Source organism: Homo sapiens, chromosome 2, assembly GCF_000001405.40.
Source record: "Homo sapiens chromosome 2, GRCh38.p14 Primary Assembly".
NCBI classification, from domain to species: Eukaryota; Metazoa; Chordata; class Mammalia; order Primates; family Hominidae; genus Homo; species Homo sapiens.
In genome coordinates, this window is record NC_000002.12 from 195933082 (window position 1) to 195957088 (window position 24007).

At 38.3% G+C, this 24007-nt stretch overlaps 1 protein-coding gene across 11 annotated transcripts in view; it reads right to left on the minus strand.

Annotated features, from left to right (window-relative positions):
• Window positions 1-24007, minus strand: part of DNAH7 (dynein axonemal heavy chain 7) — a 331135-nt gene that overhangs the window by 195379 nt on the left and 111749 nt on the right. For all 11 annotated transcript variants that reach the window (XR_922968.4, XM_011511488.4, XM_017004504.3 and 8 more), the window contains 2 exons: window positions 3518-3711; window positions 1510-1708 (listed from right to left, as the gene is read on the minus strand). Coding sequence is in view for 10 of the 11 variants with exons in the window: in XM_011511488.4 (XP_011509790.1) it covers window positions 1510-1708; window positions 3518-3711 (393 nt within the window). In the remaining variant the exon portion in view is untranslated. The remainder of the gene's footprint in view (window positions 1-1509; window positions 1709-3517; window positions 3712-24007) is intronic.

The window sequence follows — 24007 nt, forward strand, 5'->3', positions numbered from 1 at the left end:
TGCCTCAATTTCAGAGGCTGTTATTGGTCTATTCAGAGATTCAACTTCTTCAAAAGACACATGAAAAAATGCTCATCATCACTGGCCATCAGAGAAATGCAAATCAAAACCACAATGAGATACCATCTCACACCAGTTAGAATGGCGATCATTAAAAAGTCAGGAAACAACAGGTGCTGGAGAGGATGTGGAGAAATAGGAACACTTACACTGTTGGCGGGACTGTAAACTAGTTCAACCATTGTGAAAGTCAGTGTGGCGATTCCTCAGGGATCTAGAACTAGAAATACCATTTGACCCAGCCATCCCATTACTGGGTCTATACCTAAAGGATTATAAATCATGCTGCTATAAAGACATATGCACATGTATGTTTATTGCAGCACTATTCACAATAGCAAAGACTTGGAGCCAACCCAAATGTCCATCAGTGATAGACTGGATTAAGAAAATGTGGCACATATACACTATGGAATACTATGCAGCCATAGAAAAGGATGAGTTCATGTCCTTTGTAGGGACATGGATGAAGCTGGAAACCATCATTCTCAGCAAACTAACACAAAGACAAAAAACCAAACACCGCATGTTCTCACTCATAGGTGGGAATTGAACAATGAGAACACATGGACACAGGAAGGGGAACATCACACACCGGGGCCTGTTGTGGGGTGGGGGGTGGGGGGAGGGATAGCATTAGGAGATATACCTAATGTTAAATGACAAGTTAATGGGTGCAGCACACCAACATGGCACATGTATACAAATGTAACAAACCTGCACGTTGTGCACATGTACCCTAAAACTTAAAGTATAGTAACAAATAAAAAATAAAAATTTAAAATTAATTAATTAGTTATACTCCCTTCTGTTCCTTTGCTCCATCATGATTTTTATTCTTGACTAAAAACTTGAATGCTAAGCTCACACTACAGTAAAAAAAAAAACTGAGTGCTCAATCTTTATTTATTGGTGTGCCTTGAAATTCTCTACCAACAAAAGTAATCACAAATGATTGAGCTCACAGTATGTTTCATGAAATGTGGAAAATATGAAGTTGTTATTAATTGTAGGAAGCATACATTATTTTCTAACATTTTGTATGCATTTCATATATACACCGAAAAAAAGATTCATACATGTCGAGGAGATTGATGTGATCATGTAGAGAGGTGCTTCCAAGGCAAGACTAAAGAGAGACTGCATAGAACAAAGTGTATCTAATTAATGATGAAAGCACTAGCATGTGGCCACAAGAAATGAGCAGATGCATTATTCAAACCCAAGTGTTTTGTAGTATGGATGGTATTTTGTCCCACTTTTCCAGTGAGTCACTACAAAATTACTATCATAGAACATCTCTTTGCCTTCAAGTTATCTATCACATTTGAATTGGTAATTCCATGCCTCCATTTCTGTTTAAATAACAGTACATTTATCAACAGAATATTTCTAATAACATTCATATTCTAGCATCCTTTTCTAAAAATCATCAGTATAATCAGCTACCTTGTGGATGGAGTTAATCATAACTCTCTCTAATTCAACCAACCACTTCTCCACTTGACCTCTGGCTTTGGCTGTTGAAATAATCTCTATGAGTTCTACAACCTCTCCTTCGCTGCTCTTCATGTGAGTAATGTCTAAAGTTTCCGTAAATTCTACCTTTGCGATTCCTTCAAAACATTTCTTCAAGTGAGGTTGCACCCTGTCAGGAAAAACATTTTTAAGATAATTAACCAAGTTAAAACAATTCTTTACACTCCAGAGTTCTTCGTTTAAAGTTCATAAATGCTAGGTGCTGCTGGGAATGAAATGCTGTGCAAAAACCGGAAACCCCCAAAACAAACAAACAAAAAACACAAGCTCTGCCTACATGCATTATATAGTCCATTGAGATGTCAGTATTAACTGAATAATCACAAAACATCTGTAAAATTACAATTATAGTAAGAGCTACAGAGACAACCACGAGGCTTTGTCTTCAATACAATGAATTAAAAGATGCTAAAGGTAACATAAGGAGAAAACCAATCTTGACTAACAGATAAATACATGAATCTGAAGAATCTTCAAATGCACAAAAGTAGCCATTTCAACTGGGTTCTTCAGAGACTGCTTGAAAATTGTGGACTATGTTTAGTAACTTAGGTACTTTACAGTTTACTAAATCAACTGCGTTGACAGTATCCAACTATTAGTCTATTCAATGTAATACAGATGGGACTGACACAACTCATTTTTGGCACACTACCAATAACCCGTTGCATTCATCTTTCAAATGGACAAAAAGAAGCAAAGTATAAAAACTCAGATAGAAATCTGAGCCTAAATTTACCTTTTGTTTAGATTACATATCCCCTACTTTGAAGGCACAAGTTAACAAAATTAACACATTTGTTTAACAAGTATCTATTCACTGTTTATATCAGATGCTCTTCTAAAGATTGGGGAATCAGCAGTGGGAAAAAAACAGTCAAAAAATCTCTACCATGGTGGAGCTTATATTCCGCTAGAGGAAGACATGCCATTAACAAATAAGTAAATTACAGAGTATGCCAGATGATAACAACTATGCAGAAGGAAAATGAGGCAAGGAAAATAAGTCCAGGAAAGAGGGCAAGTTGAGCATGGAGGGAGCTGCCTCTTTAAATATGGTGGTCAGGGAGGGCCTCCCTGAATGACAGATGTTTAACCAGATTTCCACTAAGACTTATAGGAGGTAAAGGAAGAAGTATGATGAACATTTGGGTAAGGAGCATCCCAGGCAAGAGAACAGTACACTGAGAAAGGAGGCTGCCCCTTTTACCGGGGAATTGCAAAAAGGTTGGTGGGCTGCATGCAGAGTGAGCAAGAAGACTAGTAGGAGATGAATAGGAAGGATAACAGGGGAAGGATAATCTGTGTGGGGCATTGCAAACCATCATGAGAGCAGTGGCTTTTATTCTGAATGTGCTGTGAAAGAGCTGTGTTCTGAAAAATCTGTAAGATGTGATAAGTTAAGAAATCTGGCCAGGCACGGTGGCTCACGCCTGTAATCCCAGCACTTTGGGAGGCCGAGGCAGGTGGATCACTTGAGATCAGGAGTTCAAGACCAGCCTGGCCAACATGGTGAAACCCTGTCCCTACTAAAAATACCAAAATTAGCTGGGCATGGTGGCGCACGCCTGTAATCCCAGCTACTCGGGAAGCTGAGGCAGAAGAATCACTTGAACCTGGGAGGCGGAGGTTGCAGTGAGCCAAGGTCGCGCCATTGCACTCCAGCCTGGGAAACAAGAGTGAAACTCCATCTCAAAAACAAAAAAACAAACAAAAAAAGAAAACGATTCCACGGTTCATTCAGTGATACTAGTTACATTTTTAATAATTATCCAAAGTTGATTATATAATACTTGGAACATTCTTGTAGAAAAAATATTATATAAACATGATTATATATATTTATGTTCTACTTTGTTCTAAAAATTAAGTTTAAGCAGATAAATTTAGTCATGTATTCTACATGTAAATTACTTACCTAGTGGGATCTTTAGTCTCAGATAGTATCTCAAGAAGTTCATCATTGGACAAAAAAAAGAATCTGGGGAAAAAGAGGCGTTTCTTTTCCAAATATTCATTAAGTCCTTTAAGAATGAGCTCCAAAAGTTCATTAGATTTTTTCAGCCTTTCCAGCATTCTGTCAATGGTTACAACTGTCAGAACATGTTTATCCTAAAAATAAAAATAAAAAACACTCAATTCAAAAATATTAGATACTAACTCTATTTATATTCATATTATATTTGAGATTATATGTTTGTAATCAAACAAAGGTTATGTAAATTTTAAGGGGAGTATTTGTTTTTTAAAAGTAGTCTTGCATATTCTAGGTCTACTTGGCCTCTCTGATTCTGTAAAAGTCACATTGATTTAATCCTCAGCCCTGTTCATAACGATTCTCATTCTAAGTTGAGAAGTGTAAGAAACAGAAAATGAGAGAGAGAGAACACTGCCTGAACTCACAAGAAGGACAGTGGAAACAAACTGGTATGAGATATTTTCTTTTGTATTTTATTCTTTGAGGAAAAGAATTCTAAACAATAAGTCATCATTATAATTATTATTTTGAATTTTATTGTTATGAATAATAATAACATAACAGAATCCCTGTTTTATAACTACAGAGAAAAAAGTAAGGGTTGAGGAAATGAGGAAGAAAGCTTTCTAAGAAGATCTTACATTGTAAACAATGACCCTTGAAACTACTTTATAACACTTCTTGCTGAAGGACTGAAGTTCAAGGTGTGCTCTTCCTGAACTCTCTAGAGACAGACTGTTCCACCTTTAAGGCATGGTGAACATTCTCACTTGAAAGTGTCACTGTGAGCTGTTTGCTTTAAAGTGATTCAAACACAATCAAATATTTTTAAAAGAGCTTTCTTTTATCCTGTGTATTCAAAATAAGAATTATAACCAAAAGCTGATCTTAAAGAACTCATATTTTTTAAAAAAAGTAAATAGAGTTTATTGATTTCTCAAAATATCTATACAGTAACCACCAAGTTTATGAAAATCTTTAGAAATACATATAAAAATACAGCCTAGATATAGTTGAAATAGAATTCTTTTTACTTTTTTTTCTTTAACACATGGTTGATGTCATCTGGGTCTATTCTTGGTCTTATAATTCCAAAGTCAGTGTTCACCACTGACATCATTGACAATGTAAGGAAAGTTCTTTACTTAATAAGCTTGAAGGTGTTGAAAAAACAAAAAAGGTGCTAACACAACAGAGATTTCAATCGCCAAGTAGCACACCTCATGAAAATACACCAGACATTTATTAATGTAACAGGGCATTTTAGGAAATTTATATGAAATTAAATCAAGAGAATATTGTTAAAAACTAAATACTAAATTTCAAGATTAACTAATTAGATATTTTTGGTATTTAGCCATGACTGAGAGATAACCAAAAATGTAACCAGTAAATTTTTTCCTATAGGAATTTTATTCAATTGCAGGAGTCTCTAAAGTATGTTTTTGTGAACATACTTTGAATGTGTCTGAAAAGGAAAGATACAATTTTTGCTTTTTTTGGATTACAACAATGCAATTTGGAAACAGCAATTTAATCAAAGAAAATAATTATCATTACTTGTTTCCTCAATAAAACATGAATATATAAATCATATAATATAATTAGATCAATTTATCTTTAAAGGTGCATAATTTTTAAAAGGAATTTTATTATGCTTCTTGTTTTATGTTTCAAATAGACATTCACACACACACACACACACACACACACACACACACACAAACACACACAGCATAACAGACTCAGGCCATCATGTTCGCCTAAATCCAAATATCAAAATAATGTTCTTAGAGTGCCACCTTCTGGAAAAGTATGCCTGTATTTGTTTGGGGAAAAAAGCTGAATTGTGGCTAATAAATGTAAAAAACTCCTTTCACACATGAACAGTATTTGTTATTCTCAACCAAAAAAATTATTGCAATGTTTCCATTCTTAATCTAAGATTTGAAAGCTAAAAACTCAGTTATTTAAACCAGTATATTCCATTTGCTAAATATTATAATTGCCAAAATAACAAACAAACAACAACAAACCATGGAAAGAGCATTCAGGTAAACTTTTTTTATTATTGAATTTCCAGGGTCAAACCTATTTAACCAGATTAGCTTAATAACTCTGAACCAAATATGCTACTTTTAAATGAACACAGGCAATAATCTATGTATCTTTGTATATGGATTTAAGATTTTAAAATAAAAGTAATCATCTTATGACTGGCAACTCAACTACCTTTACTCTCTCCCAGTGAGAAGACAAACATAATAAAGACTGTATCAGATAAAGAAAGGGGCCCAAGTTGAACAGACTTGGTGTCTGTCCACACTCTATTCCCCACTACCTGTGCGACCTTAGATCATCTGCTTAATCTGAGTCCCTTTTTTATTATCTTGAAAATGGGGATAAAAGCCCTCTCTCAAAATCGGTATGAGGACTAAATTAGATAATGTATTTGAAGTGACTAATATGGTGTCTAAAACACACAGACACTTGAAGCGACCCTTTTACTCCCCCTTTCCTTCTCCTCACCCCAAAATTGTCTGTTAGAAAGAGTGCAGGTGGGGAAGGATTGACTCTGGGGAAAGGGGAAAATGAAGCATTTACATCACTCCATGTTTTATGGAGTTAAAATGAACATTTTATAATCTTCCATCCTTCAAGAAAGGTATTTATCATAGTAAAATAACACTGACTTTAAATTCCTCTAAGAATCGCCATCAAATCCTGGTACAGAGTCACCATTCCATGTTGAGTGCTTCAGCAAATGCAGGATGAACTGCACTTGGGCTCATACAGGGAAACTCAAGGAATGTACAAGCCTCCATGTCACAGAAGGCTGGTACTTCATAGCTATGTCCTCAGAACATAGCAATAAGATGTTGTAACAGGAAGCTACTAGAAATTTGAATCTTAGTATGACTTCTTTGACACTTTAATTACTTTCTGTCTCCTAAAGGGGAAGAATTGAATTATTAATTGTCATTTTTTTGGTTAAAAGAACACTGACTGACAATTTTTAAGTGTCTTCTTTTACTTCACAACCACCCACCAATCTCATCAGCTCTAGTGATGATCTACTAGGTTTACATTTCTAAACCAAATGAATGTGATATCAGGGGCCCGAAACATTGAGTATATAGAGAGCTTTCTCATTTCTGCTACTAGGAAGTTTCATAGAAAATACGGTTTTGTCACTGCTCAAAGAAATAAGAGAGAACACAAACAAATGGAAAAAAATTCCATGCTCATGGATAGGAAGGATCAATATCATGAAACTGGCCATACTGCCCAAAGTAATTTATAGATTCAATGCTATTCCCCTCAAGCTACCACTGACTTTCTTTGCAGAATTAGAAGAAACTACTTTAAATTTCACATGGAACCAGAAAAGAGCCCTTATAGCCAAAACAATCCTAAGCAAAAAGAACAAAGCTGGAGGCATCATGCTACCTGACTTCAAACTATACTACAAGGCTACAGTAACCAAAACAGCATGGTACTGGTACCAAAACAGATATATAGACCAATGGAACAGAACAGAGACCTCAGAAATCACACCACACATCTACAACCATCTGATCTTTGACAAACCTGATAAAAACAAGCAATTGGGAAAAAAATCCCTATTTAACAAATGGTGCTGAGAAAACTGGCTAGCCACATGCAGAAAACAGAAACTGGACCCCTTCCTTACACCTTACACAAAAATTAACTCAAGATTGGTTAAAGACTTAATTGTAAAACTTAAAACCATAAAAACCCTAGAAAAAGAAAACCTAGGCAATACCATTCAGGATACAGGCATGGGCAAAGACTTCATTGGCTAAAACACCAAAAGCAATGGCAACACAAGCCAAAATTGACAAATGGGATATAATTAAACTAAAGAGCTTCTGCACAGCAAAATAAACTATCATCAGAGTGAACAGGCAACCTACAGAATGGGAGAACATTTTTGCAATCTATCCATCTGACAAAGGGCTAATATCCAGAATCTACAAGGAACTTAAGCCAATTAAAAAAAAAACCAACCCCATCAAAAAGTGGGTGAAGGATATAAACACACACTTCTCAAAAGAAGACATTTATGTGGCCAACAAACCTATGAAAAAAAGCTCATCATCACTTGTTATTAGAGAAATGCAAATCAAAACCACAATGAGATACCATCTCATGCCAGTTAGAATGCCAATCATTAAAAAGTCAGGAAACAACAGATGCTGGAGAAGATGTGGAGAAATAGGAACGCTTTTACACTGTTGGTGGGAGTGTAAATTAGTTCAACCATTGTGGAAGACAGTGTGGCGATTCCTCAAAGATCTAGGATCAGAAATACCATTTGACCCAGCAATCCCATTACTAGGTATATACCCAAAGGATTATAAATCATTCTACCATAAAGCCACAAGCACACGTATGTTTATTGCGGTACTATTCACAATAGCAAAGACTTGGAACCAACCCAAATGCCCATCAATGATAGACTGAATAAAGAAAATGTGGCACATATACACCATGGAATACTATGCAGCCATTTAAAAAATGAGTTCATGTCCTTTGCGGGGACATAGATGAAGCTGGAAGCCATCATTCTCAGCAAACTAACACAGGAACAGAAAACCAAACACTGCATGTTCTCACTCATAAACGGGAGTTGAACAATGAGAACACATGGACACAGGGAGGGAAATATCACACACTGGGGCCTGTCGGGGGTTGGGGGGCAAGAGGAGGGAGAGCATTAGGACAAACACCTAATGCATGCAGGGCTTAAAACCTAGAACCTAGATGACAAAAAAAAAAAAAAAAAACCTAGATGACAGGTTGATAGGTGCAGCAAACCACCATGACATATGTATACGAAGGTAACAAACCTGCGTGTTCTGCACATGTATCCCCAAACTTAAAGTAAAATAAAAAATAATAAAAAATAAAAAAAGAGATAATGCAGTTTTGTATACTTAATGGAATTAAGCTCAAGCCTGCCTGGTAAATTTCTGGGAGCATAAATTTCCTAATGCAAAATCCCTGGACAACAGAAAATTGATAAGATCCTCATTAAACCTTTTGCACTTCAAGAAAGGAAATGTAGGTTGACAGAGTAGAACTTAAAACCTCTTACAATTTTAAGAGTCCTTGACTTCATCAGGAGCAGAAACTCTTTCATTTAGATTCAATGTATTTCTAGGATTAACCTAAATCTCAGGGCCCATTTGCCTAAAATTGAGTTTTCAGAAGTTTTCCAGAGTAAACTCAGAATCTTAGAATTAACAATAATTCAAGCATCAATCTCAATTATTACTCATTTAACAAACATTTACCAAGGGCTAATACACGTTAGTGACCTTTCTCAGTGCTTGGGTGACAACAGTGGACAAAACAAAGATCCCAGCCTCCATGGGGGAGACAGACAATAAATAACAAACATCATATTGATAAATTATATAGTAAGGTAGATGATAGATGCTACAAAACAGAAAGAAGTGATAAGAAGTGCCAAAAAAGTCAAAGGTGGGTTAATTTCAAATAGGATGTTCGATGTGAGCCTCTTTATAAAGGTAATATTTGAGAAAATATATCAAGAAAGCAAAGCATTAACACCGCAGATATTTAGAGGTAGCACATTCCAGAAGAGGGTCCAACCAGTGCAAACGCCCTCGGATACAGTGTGTTTGTTATTTGAGAAGAAGGAAGGGTGGGGAGGAAGCAAAAGAAGGAGAAGGAGAAGAGGAAGAAGGAAGAAGATGAAGAGGAGGAAGAGGAAGAAGGAAGAAGATGAAGAGGAGGAAGAGGAAAAAGGAAGAAGAGGAAGAGGAGGAGGAAGGAGGAAGAAGAGGAGATAGCCAGTGTGGCTGGAATAGAGTAAGTACAGTGAAAAGTTATAAAGACAGAGAGGTAAAAGCGTGGAATGAGCAGATCAAGAACTTCCCATTTAATGAAATCATTAATATGTCCCTCATATAGAAGTATTTCTTCCCTGGACACTGAGATTACTTAATCTAGTTAGGATAATCTCTACTAGATTTCATCTAGAAAAGCCAAAAGTTGAGAAGCAAAATTGTTGTTAGCAGATTACATGGTTAATTGGTGAGACATGTCACTTCTATTTTTACTCTTTAATTCCCAGATCCATGTACTCTACCTATGAGAGAAATCATATCCCTGGAGTGGACAGAGAACATATACCATGTACACTCTAGAACTGCAGCCCAAACTCCCATCACCTTCCAACAGTGATATGGTTTGTTGTCCCCACCCAAATCTCACCTTGAATTGTAATAACCCCTGTGTGTCATAGGAGGGACCTGGTGGGAGGTAATTGAATCATCGGGGTGGGTTTTTCCTGTGCTGTTCTCATGATAGTGAATAAGTCTCATGAGATCTGATGGTTTTATAAAGGGGAGTTCCCCTGCACATGCTCTCTTGCTTGCCACCATGTAAGATGTGACTTTGCTTCTCATTTACTTTCCACCATGATTGTGAGGCCTCCCCAGCCATGTGGAACTGTAAGTCAATTAAACCTCTTTCCTTTGTAAATTACCTGGTCTCAGGCATGTCTTTATTAGCAGCATGAGAACAGACGAACATACACAGATAGAGCAAATTAATCTTCAATATAAGCCAATTCACTTTGTTTAAGGTCAATATTCATAGTAGGACCTTTACTATTACCGATGTCAGTCAACTGTCTTATTTCCCTTATAAGGTGAGTTCCTTAGCATATGCAATGTTGTGTGGAAACTGTGATAATGAGTAAGTCATTCAGTAAGTCAATGAATGACAGTATTGGCAGAAACTTGCTGTGGGAAAACAAAAATTCATTTCGTGCAGACACAACACTGCTGGCTTCCATATTGAAAGAGGGCCAATGTAATATTCAATTCCCTCTAAATGAGTGCTGTATCAGAAGCATTATGTTAATTTCTGCTGTTGGCAGCTTGAGTGCACCCAGCAGTGTTGGTGAGGGGTAGTCTCCGATAGTAATTCCTTCCATAATTCCCACCACTGCCATCATGACTTCTTCATTTATAGCTACATTAGCCATGTATCCCAGTTTGATGAAGATAGTTCTGGTTCATGCTTGCTTTCTCAGATTATTAATTGCTTTAACTCTCAAATGTTCTCCAATTTGGACAATATATTAAATGATTATTCTATTTCATAGCTCACTGTGCACATAGTGGCATATGCCGGTTGACATGTACAGACTAGGTCAACTGGTCAACCATATAATTAAGTTCCTCCTTTTGCAGTTGCACCTGCTACTAAGCAATCACATGGAACACAAATATGCTCGCTTTTAGGTATATTCTCTGATTCCTTACATACCTCTTCCCCAGTCTTCCTTTTTCCCAATCCTTCAAACTTGTTTCTAAGTCCTTGATTATGCAGCATAACTGTTTGCTACTGACCATCATCAACATAAATTCATACTTCTGACCAAGCACTCTTTCCAAGGAAAGTTAGAAAACCAATATAATTATTGAAGTTATGCCCATGAGAAGAATTTCTTTCCTATTGTTAAGTCCACCCCTAAGTGGAGTTATAATTTCCACTTCTGGATGGTGCAAGCATATGCGGCACAAACATCTGCAAGCAACTCTCTAATTTCTTTAAATCCAATCAAGGATTTTCTACCATTTCTATCTAATTGAGACAGGCCATTACAGAAGCCAGGTTTGGTCAATAAAACAAGTAAACAGAACCACTCACAGCTCCTTGACTAGCATCTTGAAACAGGATCTCTGGTAAGTGCACCCATATCAACACATTTGACCACATCTAACTTATGTTCTTTCCTCCCTACACAAGCACCATTACAATATATTGCCACTTAATTTATCTACACCTCTGCCAAGGATTCTGGCAAGTGAGGCTAAACAGAGTTTGAGGGTCAGGGTACCCAGAGTCAATTACATCCAAGTGTCCCCATTTTCAGTTTTCACCACCCCATGCTTTGCAATAAGTAAACTATCTTTCACATAACAGATCTAGAAAGGCCATGAATTAAATTACATTGAAATTTGGTGACCTATTGAATCAGATTCTATAACTCATTTTTGGCTATATCAAATTTGTAGCTATGAGAAATAAAAGGCTCTTTTAGCAAATCACAGAAGTTTCTTAGTTTTCTGACCACATCTTGAGCAGAGAATTTAAAACTGCAAATTATACCATGTCTTTTATTTCTCCAGTGCTTTTTAAAGAATTCAGCCCATCTCACCTCCCTTGTACTTCAAATTCTTATCATATTGACCTATTCAAGCAGCCTCATGGTCCACCAAACACTTCCCTGTACAACAGATTGTTCATTCTGGAAGTCTAAGAACATAATTGATTGAGTGATTTTTACACTGCATACCAGATACTCCTAGTGTCCTATTTTCAAGCAATAACTAGATCTTCACTACTCTAAAACCCAAGTGGGTCATAAACAATCCTAGATCTCATACTTGAGGTTCTGGTATAGTTTATTCAAGTTCAGTGCAGAACCCTTCTACATATTAAGCAAAAAGGAATTTAACACAGGGAATAAAGTGATTACAAAATCACTGGAAAGCCTAGGGGAGCATACTTCCAGGACAGACTACTAAAACATAAGAACTGACTTTTCAGGATTTACTACTTCTGCCCCAATCAGGACTAAAGGATAACACCATTGGAAATACTGAGTTCAACAACCCATCATGGTGGCTCTGATGCCAGAGTTCACTGGGTGGGATCAGGAGGCCACCATTATCACTGCCTCATAATACCTATAAAACTGGTAACCAGATAAGTCCTGTTGGAAAAAAAAGTCATGTGTTCACGATCTTCCTTGACAGCAGAAATAGCTAAAATGACAGAAAGCTGGTCACTTTCACTTTTTCCATCCAAATCCCAAATGAGTGTATCTAACTGACAAGATCTAATTCACTTCCAGAAAGTCAGATGTAGAGAGCCTGGCAGATGATCTTTTCTGCTTTTCAGCTCACTAGATAGAGGTGAAATGCTTGTTGCCAAATTACATTTACTACAGTAAAGAAAACAAGGAAAATAAAGAATGAGTACTAAGTTTTTGGCCTGAGCAACAGAAAGAATAGTGTTATATTTATTGAGATGGGGTTAGACAAGAAAAGGAAAATGTTTGGGAAAAAATTTAAGAGTGTTTTTGTCTGCTTTGCATGAAATACAAAAGACTTGGATGAGTCAAAAACCAAGTTTGGGGGTGAAATGCAGCATGCAGAGAGGGATTATCCACTTACTTCATCTCCATCTGGTGGGTAATTAACTAGTTCCCATTCCCTGAATCTCAAGAAGGGGGGCCCAAGAGAGTCCCTAATAAATTTTCTAAGGGCCTGAAAGGAGAGGAAACTGACATCTTTCCTAGCTGGAGATCTGGTCAGTCACCCGGTGTGCTGAACTGCTCCAATGCTACTAGAACAGGAAAAAAACTCTGGGAGAAGATGGTGTGGTGGAATGGCCAGTGAAGAAGGGGCAAGAACTATATGCTCAAGGATACAAACAAAGTGGGTAGGGAAGATGAATTGTGCCCTTCTGCAGACCCCACTTTTGGGCTATGGCAGGCAGATGAAAAATTTTTTCCCATAACCTAATCTTAAAAGTAAGCAGGCATATGAAATTAAAGGCTGAAGATTTGTGAAATACTGCTACAGTATGGGGTAAAGAGACATACACAACAAAAATATGGCAAAATACAACATCAGAAGGTCAGTTTGAAGATGTAGCCAAATCTCCCAGACAACGAACAAACCTAGGGGAGATACTCAAGATGAAGTCCCTCAGCAGCCAGACCTGTGTTGGATCTTCACCTGTCTACCCCGGATTAATCTGTGCTCATTACATACCCACAACTCTCCAACAGGCTAGACCAGTTGCAAAGACCAACAGAAAAGGCACAGGGCCTTCACATCACTGACAGGAGGTTAATTACCTTATGACCACTGACAAAAAAGAACAGCCCATTTTGCAGGATCAGGTATATCAGAAAATGTTCTTTTACCCTCACTCTCTCTTTCTTTCTCTCTCTTTCTCTCTCCCTCTTACTTTCTCTCTCCCCATCCCTCCCTTCCTCCTTCTCTTCACCCGGTCCTTGTCCCAAACCCAGATGAGAAGCACAGGAGGAGAGAAGTAGAGTGGGAGAGTAGTCTCCATATCTCCCCACCCCTGGAACTTCATGTTTACTTGCACTGTGGGGAAGAGGAGAGCTCAGAGTAGAACAGAAGACTGAGGATTTGAAACAGGTACAAAACTCTCTTAATAAGCAAAAGTGACTGAAAAATTCTGGAATTAGATTGAAAGATCAATAAGGGAGCCTCTCTGAGTGAGAAAGGTCACTGGTTGAGTATAGTTGGTAGCATGAATTATAAGATTATTTCATGTTTACACCTCAAGGAAACCAAGACATCTCAATAAAGCCAATTATATATATATTTATATAATTATAATATATATAATTATAATTATATATTATATATCTACATAATTATATATTATTTTTATATATATAGTATTTTTAGTAGAGACGGGGTTTCACCATGTTGGCCAGGCTGGTCTCGAACTCCTGACCTCAGGTAATCCACCGCCTTGGCCTCCCAAAGTGCTGGATCACAGGCGTGAGCCACATGTCTTATTTTTTTAAATTATGATTATACTTTAAGTTCTGGGATACATGTGCAGAACGTGCAGGTTTGTTACATAGGTATACACGTGCCATCGTGGTTTGCTGACCCTATCAACTAGTCATCTACATTAGGTATTTCTCCTAATGCTATCCCTCCCCTACCCCTTCACCCCACAACAGGCCCCAGTGTGTGACGTTCCCCTCCCTGTGTCCATGTGTGCTCATTGTTCTACTCCCATTTATGAGTGAGAACATGTAGTGTTTGGTTTTCTGTTCCTGTGTTAGTTTGCTGAAAATGATGGTTTCCAGCTTCATTCATGTCCCTGTAAAGGACATGAACTCATCCTTTTTTATGGCTGCATATTATTCCATGGTGTATATGTGCCACATTTTCTTTATCCAGTCTATCATTGATGGACATTTGGGTTGGTTCCAAGTATTTGCTATTGTGAATAGTGCTGCAATAAACACACGTGTGCATGTGTCTTTATAGCAGAATGATTTATAATCCTGTGGGTATATACCCAGTAATGGGATTGCTGGGTCAAATGGTATTTCTGGTCCTAGATCCTTGAGGAATCACCACACTGTCTTCCACAATGGTTGAACTAATTTACGCTCCCACCAACACTGTAAAAACGTTCCTATTCCTTCACAGCCCCTCCAGCATCTGTTGTTTCCTGACTTTTTAGTGATCACCATTCTAACTGGCATGAGATGGTATCTCATTGTGGTTTTGATTTGCATTTCTCTAATGACCAGTGATAATGAGCTTTTTTTCATAGGTTTGTTGGCCACATAAATGTCTTCTTTTGAGAAGTGTCTGTTCACATGCCTTGCCCACTTTCTGATGGGGTTGTTTTTTTTCTTGTAAATTGGCTTAAGTTCATTGTAGATTCTGGATATTAGTCCTTTGTCAGATGGATAGATTGCAAAAATTTTCTCCCATTCTGTAGACTGCCTGTTTACTCTGATGATAGTTTATTTTGCTGTGCAGAAGCTCTTTAGTTTAATTATATCCCATTTGTCAATTTTGGCTTGTGTTGCCATTGCTTTTGGTGTTTTAGTCTTGAAGGCTTTGCCCATGCCTGTATCCTGAATGGTATTGCCTAGGTTTTCTTCTAGGGTTTTTATGGTTTTAGGTCTTACGTTTAAGTCTTTAATCCATCTTGAGTTAATTTTTGTATAAGGTGTAAGGAAGGGGTCCAGTTTCAGTTTTCTGCCTATGGCTAGCCAGTTTTCCCAACACCATTTATTAAATAGGGAACGCCTTCCTCATTGCTTGTTTTTGTCAGGTTTGTCAAAGATCAGATGGTTGTAGATGTGTGGTGTGATTTCTGAGGTCTCTGTTCTGTTCCATTGGTCTATATCTCTGTTTTGGTACCAGCACCATGCTGTTTCGGTTACTGTAGCCTTGTAGTATAGTTTGAAGTCAGGTAGCGTGATGCCTCTTGCTTTGTTCTTTTTGCTTAGGATTGTCTTGGCTATAAGGGCTCTTTTTTGGTTCCATATGAAATTTAAAGTGGTTTTTTTCTAATTCTGTGAAGAAAGTCAATAGCAGCTTGATGAAGATAGCACTGAATCTATTAATTACTTTGGGCAGTATGGCCATTTTCACGATACTGATTCTTCCTATCCATGAGCATGGAATCTTTTTCCATTTGTTTGTATCTTCTCTTACTTCCTTGAGCAGTGGTTTGTAGTCCTCCTTGAAGAGGTCCTTCACATCCCTTGTAAGTTGTATTCCTAGGTATTTTATTCTTTTTGTAGGAATTGTGAATGGGAGTTCGCTCATGATTTGGCTGTTTGTCTATTATTGGTATATAGGAATGCTTGTGATTTCTGCACACTGATTTTGTATCCTGAGACTTTTCTGAAGTTGCTTATCAGCTTAAGGAGATTTTGGGCTGAGACAATGGAGTTTTCTAAATATGCAATCATGTCATCTGCAAACAGAGACAATCTGACTTCCTCTCTTCCTTTTTGAATACCACTTATTTATTTATTTATTTATTTATTGAGATGGAGTCTCACTCCATTGTCCTGGCTGGAGTGCAGTGGCACAACCTCAGTTCACTGCAACCTCTGCCTCCCGAGTTCAAGCAATTCTCCTGTCTTCGCTTCCTGAGTAGCTGGGACTACAGTCACACACCACTACACCTGGCTAATTTTCGTATTTTCAGTAGAGATGGAGTTTCACCTTGTTGGTCAGGCCGGTCTCGAACTCCTGACCACAGGTGATCCACCTGCTTCAGCCTCCCAAAGCGCTGGGATTACAGGCATGAGCCACAGCGCCTGGCTTACCCTTTATTTCTTTATCCTGCCTGATTGCCCTGGCCAGAACTTCCAATACTATGTTGAATAGGAGTGGTGAGAGAGGGCATCTTTGTCTTGTGCCGGTTTTTCAGAGGGAATGCTTCCAGCTTTTGCCCATTCAGTATGATATTGGCTGTGGGTTTGTCATAAATACATTATTATTTTGAGATACGTTCCATAAATACCTAGTTTATTGAGAGTTTTTAGCATAATGTGATGTTGAATTTTATCAAAGGTCTTTTCTGCATCTATTGAGATAATCATGTGGTTTTTGTCATTGGTTCTGCTTATGTGATGGATTACGTTTACTGATTTGTATATGTTGAACTAGCCTTGCATCCCAGGGATGAAACTGACTTGATCATGCTGGATAAGCTTTTTGATGTGCTGCTAGATTTGGTTTGCCAGTATTTTATTGAGGATTTTCGCATCAATGTCCATCAGGGATATTGGCCTGAAATTTTCTTTTTTTGTTGTGTCTCTGCCAGGTTTTGGTATCAGGATGATGCTGGCCTCATAAATGGGTTAGGGAGGAGTCCCTCTCTTTTTCTATTCTTTGGAACAGTTTCAAAAGGAATGGTGCCAGCTCCTCTTTGCACTCCTCTGGTAGAATTCGGCTGTGAATCTCTCTGGTCCTGGGCTTTTTTTTGGTTGGTAGGCTATTAATTACTGCCTCAATTTCAGAACTTGTTATTAGTCTATTCAGGGATTCAACTTCTTCCTGGTTTAGTTTTGGGAGGGTGTATGTGCCCAAGAATTTATCCATTTCTTCTAGGTTTTGTAGTTTATTTATGCAGAGGTGTTTATAGTAATCTCTGTGATGGTAGTTTGTATTTCTGTGGGGCCGGTGGTGATATCCCCTTTATCATTTTTTTTATTGTGTCTATTTGATTCTTCTCTCTTTTCTTCTTCATTAGTCTGGCTAGCAGTCTATCTATTTTGTTAATCTTTCCAAAAAACCAGCTCCTGGCTGAGCATGGTGGCTCACGCCTGTAATCCCAGCACTTTGGGAGGCTGAAGCGGGCAGATCACAAGGTCAAGGGATCGAAACCATCCTGGCTAACATGGTGAAACCCCATCTCTACTAAAAATACAAAACCAAAATTAGCCAGGCGTGGTGGCGGGTGCCTGTAGTCCCAGCTACTCGGAAGGCTAAGGTGGGAGAATGGCGTGAACCCAGGAGGCGAAGCTTGCAGTGAGCCAAGACCATGCCACTGCACTCCAGCCTAGGCAACAGAGTGGGACTCTGTCTCAAAAAAAAAAAAAAAAAAAAAAAAAAAACCCAGCTCCTGGATTCAATGATTTTTTTTGACAGGTTTTTTGTGTCTCTATCTCCTTCAGTTCTGCTCTGATCTAAGTTATTTCTTGTCTTCTGCTAGCTTTTGAACTTGTTTGCTCTTGGTTCTCTAGTTCTTTAAATTGTGATGTTAGGGTGTCTGTCGATTTTAGATCTTTCCCACTTTCTCCTGTGAGCATTTAGTGCTATAAAGTTCCCTCTAAACACTGCTTTACCTGTATCCCAGAGATTCTGGTATGTTGTGTCTTTGTTCTCATCGGCTTCAAAGAACTTATTTATTTCTGCCTTAATTTAGTTATTTACCCAGTAGTCATTCAGGAGCAGGTTGTTCAGTTTCCATGTAGTTGTGTGGTTTTGAGTGAGTTTCTTAACTCTGAGTTCTAATTTGATTGCACCATGGTCTGAGAGACTGTTTGTTATGATTTCTGTTCTTTTGCATTTGCTGAGGAGTGTTTTACTTCCAATTATGTGGCCAAATTTAGAGTAACTGTGATATGGTACTGAGAAGAATGTATATTCTGTTGATTTGGGGCAGAGCATTCTGCAGATGTCTACTAGCCCTGCTTGGTCCACAGCTGGGTTGAAGTCCTGAATATCCTTGTTAATTTTCTGTCTCGTTGATCTGTCTAATACTGTGGGGTGCTAAAGCCTCCCACTATTATTGTGTGGGAGTCCAAGTCTCTTCTTAGGTCTCTAAGAACTTGCTTTATGAATCTGGGTGCTCCTATGTTGGGTGCATGTATATTTAGGATAGTTAGCTCTTCTTGTTGTATTGATCCCTTTACCATTATGTAATGGCCTTGTCTCTTTTGATCTTTGTTGGTTTAAAGTCTGTTTTATCAGAGACTAGGATTGCAACCTCTTTTTTTTTTCTTTCCATTTGCTTGGTAAATATTCCTCCATCCCTTCATTTTGAGCCTATGTGTGTGCCTGCACATGAGATGGGTCTCCTGAATACAGCACACCGATGGGGCTTGACTCTTTATCCAATGTGACAGTCTGTGTCTTTTAATTGGGGCATTTAGCCTGCTTACATTTAAGGTTAATATAGTTATGTGTGAATTTGATCCTGTCATTATGATGCTAGCTGGTTATTTGGCCCATTAGTTGATGCAGTTTCTTCATAGTGTCAATGATCTTTACAATTTGGTATGTTTTTGCAGTGGCTGATGCTAGTTGTTTCTTTCCATGTTTAGTGCTTCCTTCAGGAGCTCTAGTAAGGCAGGCCTGGTGTTGACAAAATCTCTCAGGATTTGTTTGTCTGTAAAGGATTTTATTTATCCTTCACTTATGAAGCTTAGTTTGGCTGGATATAAAATTCTAGGTTGAAAATTCTTTTCTTTAAGAATGTTGAATATTGGCCCCTACTCTTTTCTGGCTTGGAGGGCTTCTGCAGAGAGATCTGCTGTTAGTTCAATGGGCTTCCCTTTGTGGGTAACCCGACCTTTCTGGCTGCCCTTAACATTTTTTCCTTCATTTCAACCTTGGTGAATCTGACGACTATGTGTCTTGGGGTTGCTCTTCTCGAGGAGTATCTCTGTGGTGTTCTCTGTATTTCCTGAATTTGAATGTTGGCCTGTCTTGCTAGGCTGGGGAAGTTCTCCTGGATAATATCCTGAAGAGTGTTTTCCAGCTTGGTTCCATTCTCCCCGTCAATTTCAGGTACACCAATCAAACATGCAGGTTTGGTCTTTTCACATAGTCCCATATTTCTTGAAGGCTTTGTTCGTTCCTTTTCATTCTTTTTCTCTCTCATCTTGTCTTCATGCTTTATTTCATTAAGTTGCTCTTCAATCTCTGATACCCTTTCTTCTACTAGATCAATTTGGCTATTGATACTTGTGTATGGTTCACAAAGTTCTCGTGCTGTGTTTTTCAGCTCCATCAGGTCATTTATGTTCCTCTCTACACTGGTTATTCTAGTTAGCAATTCGTCTAACCTTTTTTCAAGGTTCTTAGCTTCCTTGCATTGGGTTAGAACATGCTCCTTTAGCTTGGAGGAGTTTGTTATTACCCACCTTCTGAAGCCTACTTCTGTCAATTTGTGAAACTCATTCTCGGTCCAGTGTTGTTCCCTTGCTGGCAAGGAGTTGTAATCCTTTGGAGGAGAAGAGGCATTCTGGTTTTTGTAATTTTCAGCCTTTTTGCCTGGTTTTTCCTCATCTTCGTGGGTTTATCTACGTTTGGTCTTTGATGCTGGTGACCTTCGGATGGGGTTTTTGTGTGGATGCCCTTTTTGTTGATGTTGATGCTAATCCTTTCTGTTTGTTGGTTTTCCTTCTAATACTCAGGCCCCTCTGCTGCAGGTCTGCTGGAGTGTGCTGGAGGTCCACTCCAGACCCTGTTTGCCTGGGTATCACCAGCAGAGGCTGCAGAACAGCAAAGATTGCTGCCTATTCCTTCCTCTGGAAGCTTCGTCCCAGAGGGGCACCCGCCAGATGCCAGCTGGAGTTCTCCTGTATGAGGTGTCTGTTGACCCTGGCTGGGAGGTATTTCCCAGTCAGGAGGCACAGAGGTCAGGGGCCCACCTGAGAAGGCAGTCTGTCTCTTAGCAGAACTCAAGCGCTGTGCTGGGTGATCCACTGCTCTCTTCAGAGCCAGCAGGTAGGAACGTTTAAGTCTGCTGAAGCTGTGCCCACAGCCGCCCCTTCCCATGGGTGGTCTGTCCCAGGGAGATGGGAGTTTTATCTATAAGCCCCTGACTGGGGCTGCTGCCTTTCTTTCAGAGATGCCCTGCCCAGAGAGGAGGAATCTAGAGAGACAGTCTGTCTACAGCAGCTTTGCTGAGCTGCAGTGTTCTGGGCTCTACCCAGTTGGAACTTCCCAGCGGCTTTGTTTACACTGTAAGCCAGTTATATTAACAACAGTATTTACATCCTATTTTCAACCTCTGAGGTTTTTAAAAGAACCTTTATTAGGAACTCCTAAGAATGAAGGCAATAACCTGATGTACCAAGCAATTAATCCAGTGGCCTCTACTATACACACCATGTCATTAGACTTCCTAAAAGAATATGGGTTTATGTTTATTTTCAGCTCTTTGGAGAGCATGAGCAAAAGCTTCCCTGAATACTAACATATGGAGAAAGAGAAAATGCAAAGCAGATGAGAAAGACAATCGAGTCTTTTTTTTAAATTTTATTAATTATACTTTAAGTTCTAGGGTACATGTGCACAACATGCAGGTTTGTTACATATGTATACATGTGCCATGTTGGTGTGCTGCACCCATTAACTCGTCATTTAACATTAGGTATATCTCCTAATGCTATCCCTCCCCACTCTCCCCACCCCACGACAGGCCCTGGTATGTGATGTTCCCCTTCCTGTGTCCAGGTGTTCTCACTGTTCAATTCCCACCTATGAGTGAGAACATGTGGTGTTTGGTTTCCTGTCCTTGCAATAGTTTGCTGAGAATCATGGTTTCCAGCTTCATCCATGTCCCTACAAAGGACATGAACTCATCCTTATTTATGGCTGCATAGTATTCCATTGTGTATATGTGCCACATTTTCTTTACCCAGTCTATCACTGATGGACACTTGGGTTGGTTCCAAGTCTTTGCTATTGTGAATAGTGCCACAATAAACATACATATGCATGTGTTTTTATAGCAGCATGATTTATAATCCTTTGGGTATATACCCAGTAATGGGATGGCTGGGTCAAATGGTATTTCTAGTTCTAGATCCTTGAGGAATCACCACACTGTCTTCCACAATGGTTGAACTAGTTCACAGTCCCACCAACAGTGTAAAAGTGTTCCTATTTCTCCACATCCTCTCCAGCACCTGTTGTTTCCTGACTTTTTAATGATTGCCATTCTAACTGGCATGAGATGTTATCTCATTGTGGTTTTGATTTGCATTTCTCTGATGGCCAGTGATGATGAGCATTTTTTCATGTGCCTGTTGGCTGCATAAATGTCTTCTTTTGAGAAGTGTCTGTTCATATCCTTCACCCACTTGTTGATGGGGTTGTTTTTTTCTTGTAAATTTGTTGGAGTTCTTTGTAGAATCTGGATATTAGCCCTTTGTCAGATGGGTAGATTGCAAAAATTTTCTCCCATTCTGTAGGTTGCCTGTTCACTCTGATGGTAGTTTCTTTTGCCGTGCAGAAGCTCTTTAGTTTAATTATACCCCATTTGTCAATTTTGGCTTTTGTTGCCATGGCTTTTGGTGTTTTAGACATGAAGTCCTTGCCCATGCCTATGTCTTGAATGGTATTGCCTAGGTTTTCTTCTACAGTTTTTATGGTTTTAGGTCTAACACTTAAGTCTTTAATCCATCTTGACTTAATTTTTGTATAAGGTGTAAGGAAGGGATCCAGTTTCAGCTTTCTACATATGGCTAGCCAGTTTTCCCAGCACCATTTATTAAATAGGGAATCCTTTCCCCATTTCTTGTTTTTGTCAGGTTTGTCAAAGATCAGATGGTTGTAGACGTGTGGTATTATTTCTGAGGGCTCTCTTCTGTTCCATTGGTCTATATCTCTGTTTTGGTACCAGTACCATGCTGTTTTGGTTACTGTAGCCTTGTAGTATAGTTTGAAGTCAGGTAGCATGATGCCTCCAGCTTTGTTCTTTTGGCTTAGGATTAAGACAATCAAGTCTTAAGCAAAAGTAAATGAAGTGTTACTCTCCCCTCCCCAACAGAAAATACCTATTTATTTAGAAATTAGGGTAAGTAATGTTTTTGTTTGTTTCCAGTGGTTTCATAGGATAAAAATTTGCCTCCTTTATTTACAAGGCCCAACACAGCTGCCCTTTCAAGGAACTGAGATATCTATAAAATTTCTTGGCAATATGGAATTTTGAAGAGTATTTTGATTACATATTTAAAAAGAATTTAATTTTTTAAATATACTAACTAAAAGAATACAAGTATCTACTTTTTGCTTTTTAAAACAACAAAAAATTCTCCTTCATCACCTTCTAAATGGAAATATATCCATATTATAAGGATTTTGCACTGTTGTAAGGAAACTATATATAAAAGACTGAATTTATGACATAAATTAATTAGAGATGATTGTGTTACAAAGCAACTTACTAATAGGTTCTTTAAATATGGAATTAATTCCAGTGTGATTAATTTTACAGAAGTTTGGTTTATAAAAAGATTTGTTTCAGGTATTATTACATAAATGAGGTAAAGATTAAATAAATAAAACCATGTCCATCTTTCTGAATATTTTCCTATCAGATCATATAGTTGACGTCAATACAGTATTATCAATATTTCGGATTATAGTAACAGCTCTTAAAGTTTAAATAACAATAAAGATATGCATATTTCTATTTCAGGGTAAGACATTTTTAAGATAATACTTATCCTACCTTATAGTATTATATTTTATCAAAATACCAATGCAGAAGTTTATATTCATTTAATGATATGATTTAATAACTTTTTTCTATTTTAATATTTAATGACACACAACCATGCTTCCGAGGCAGTGAATAAATGTATTCTGCCAGTCATGGTGGCTCACGCCTGCAATCCCAGCATTTTGGGAGGCCGAGGCGGGTGGATCACTTGAGGTCAAGAGATCGAGACCAGCCTGGCCAACATGGTGAAACCCCATGTCTACTAAAAATACAAAAATTAGCTGGGCATGGTGGCACACACCTGTAATCTCAGTTACTTGGGAGGCTGAGGCGGGAGAATCACTTGAGCCTGGGAGGCAAAGGTTGCAGTAAGCCAAGATTGCACCACTGCACTCCAGCCTGGGTGACAGAGCGAGACTCTGTCTCAAAAAAAAAAAAAAGTCTTCTGAATTGAACAAAAAACGTACTTTTTTTTAGTGTTACTGGTTTTTATTAAATTCTCTCTTTAGCTTAAATTTTAAGTTCTCCTCCACAGTATTTGTGTATTTTTCTTTCTTTATTGCATTTTATTTGCATTTATTGGACTTTTTAGATATATTTATCCTTGCAACTCATCTTTTTTTAGGTCCCTACCAGAAACATGTGTTGAGAGGTTGGCATACTGACATGTGTGCACCACAGTGAGTTTCAGTGGGTTGCATTCCATAACAAGAGAGCCACAGAATAGACGGAGACAGCAAGTACCTCGTACAGTGTCTTCCCTCCAGTGCATCAGATAAGAACCAATAACAGAACCAAAGGTTGTTAAACAATGCAAATTCCAATTTGGACCTCAAGGAGTAATCAGGACAAAATACCTACTTT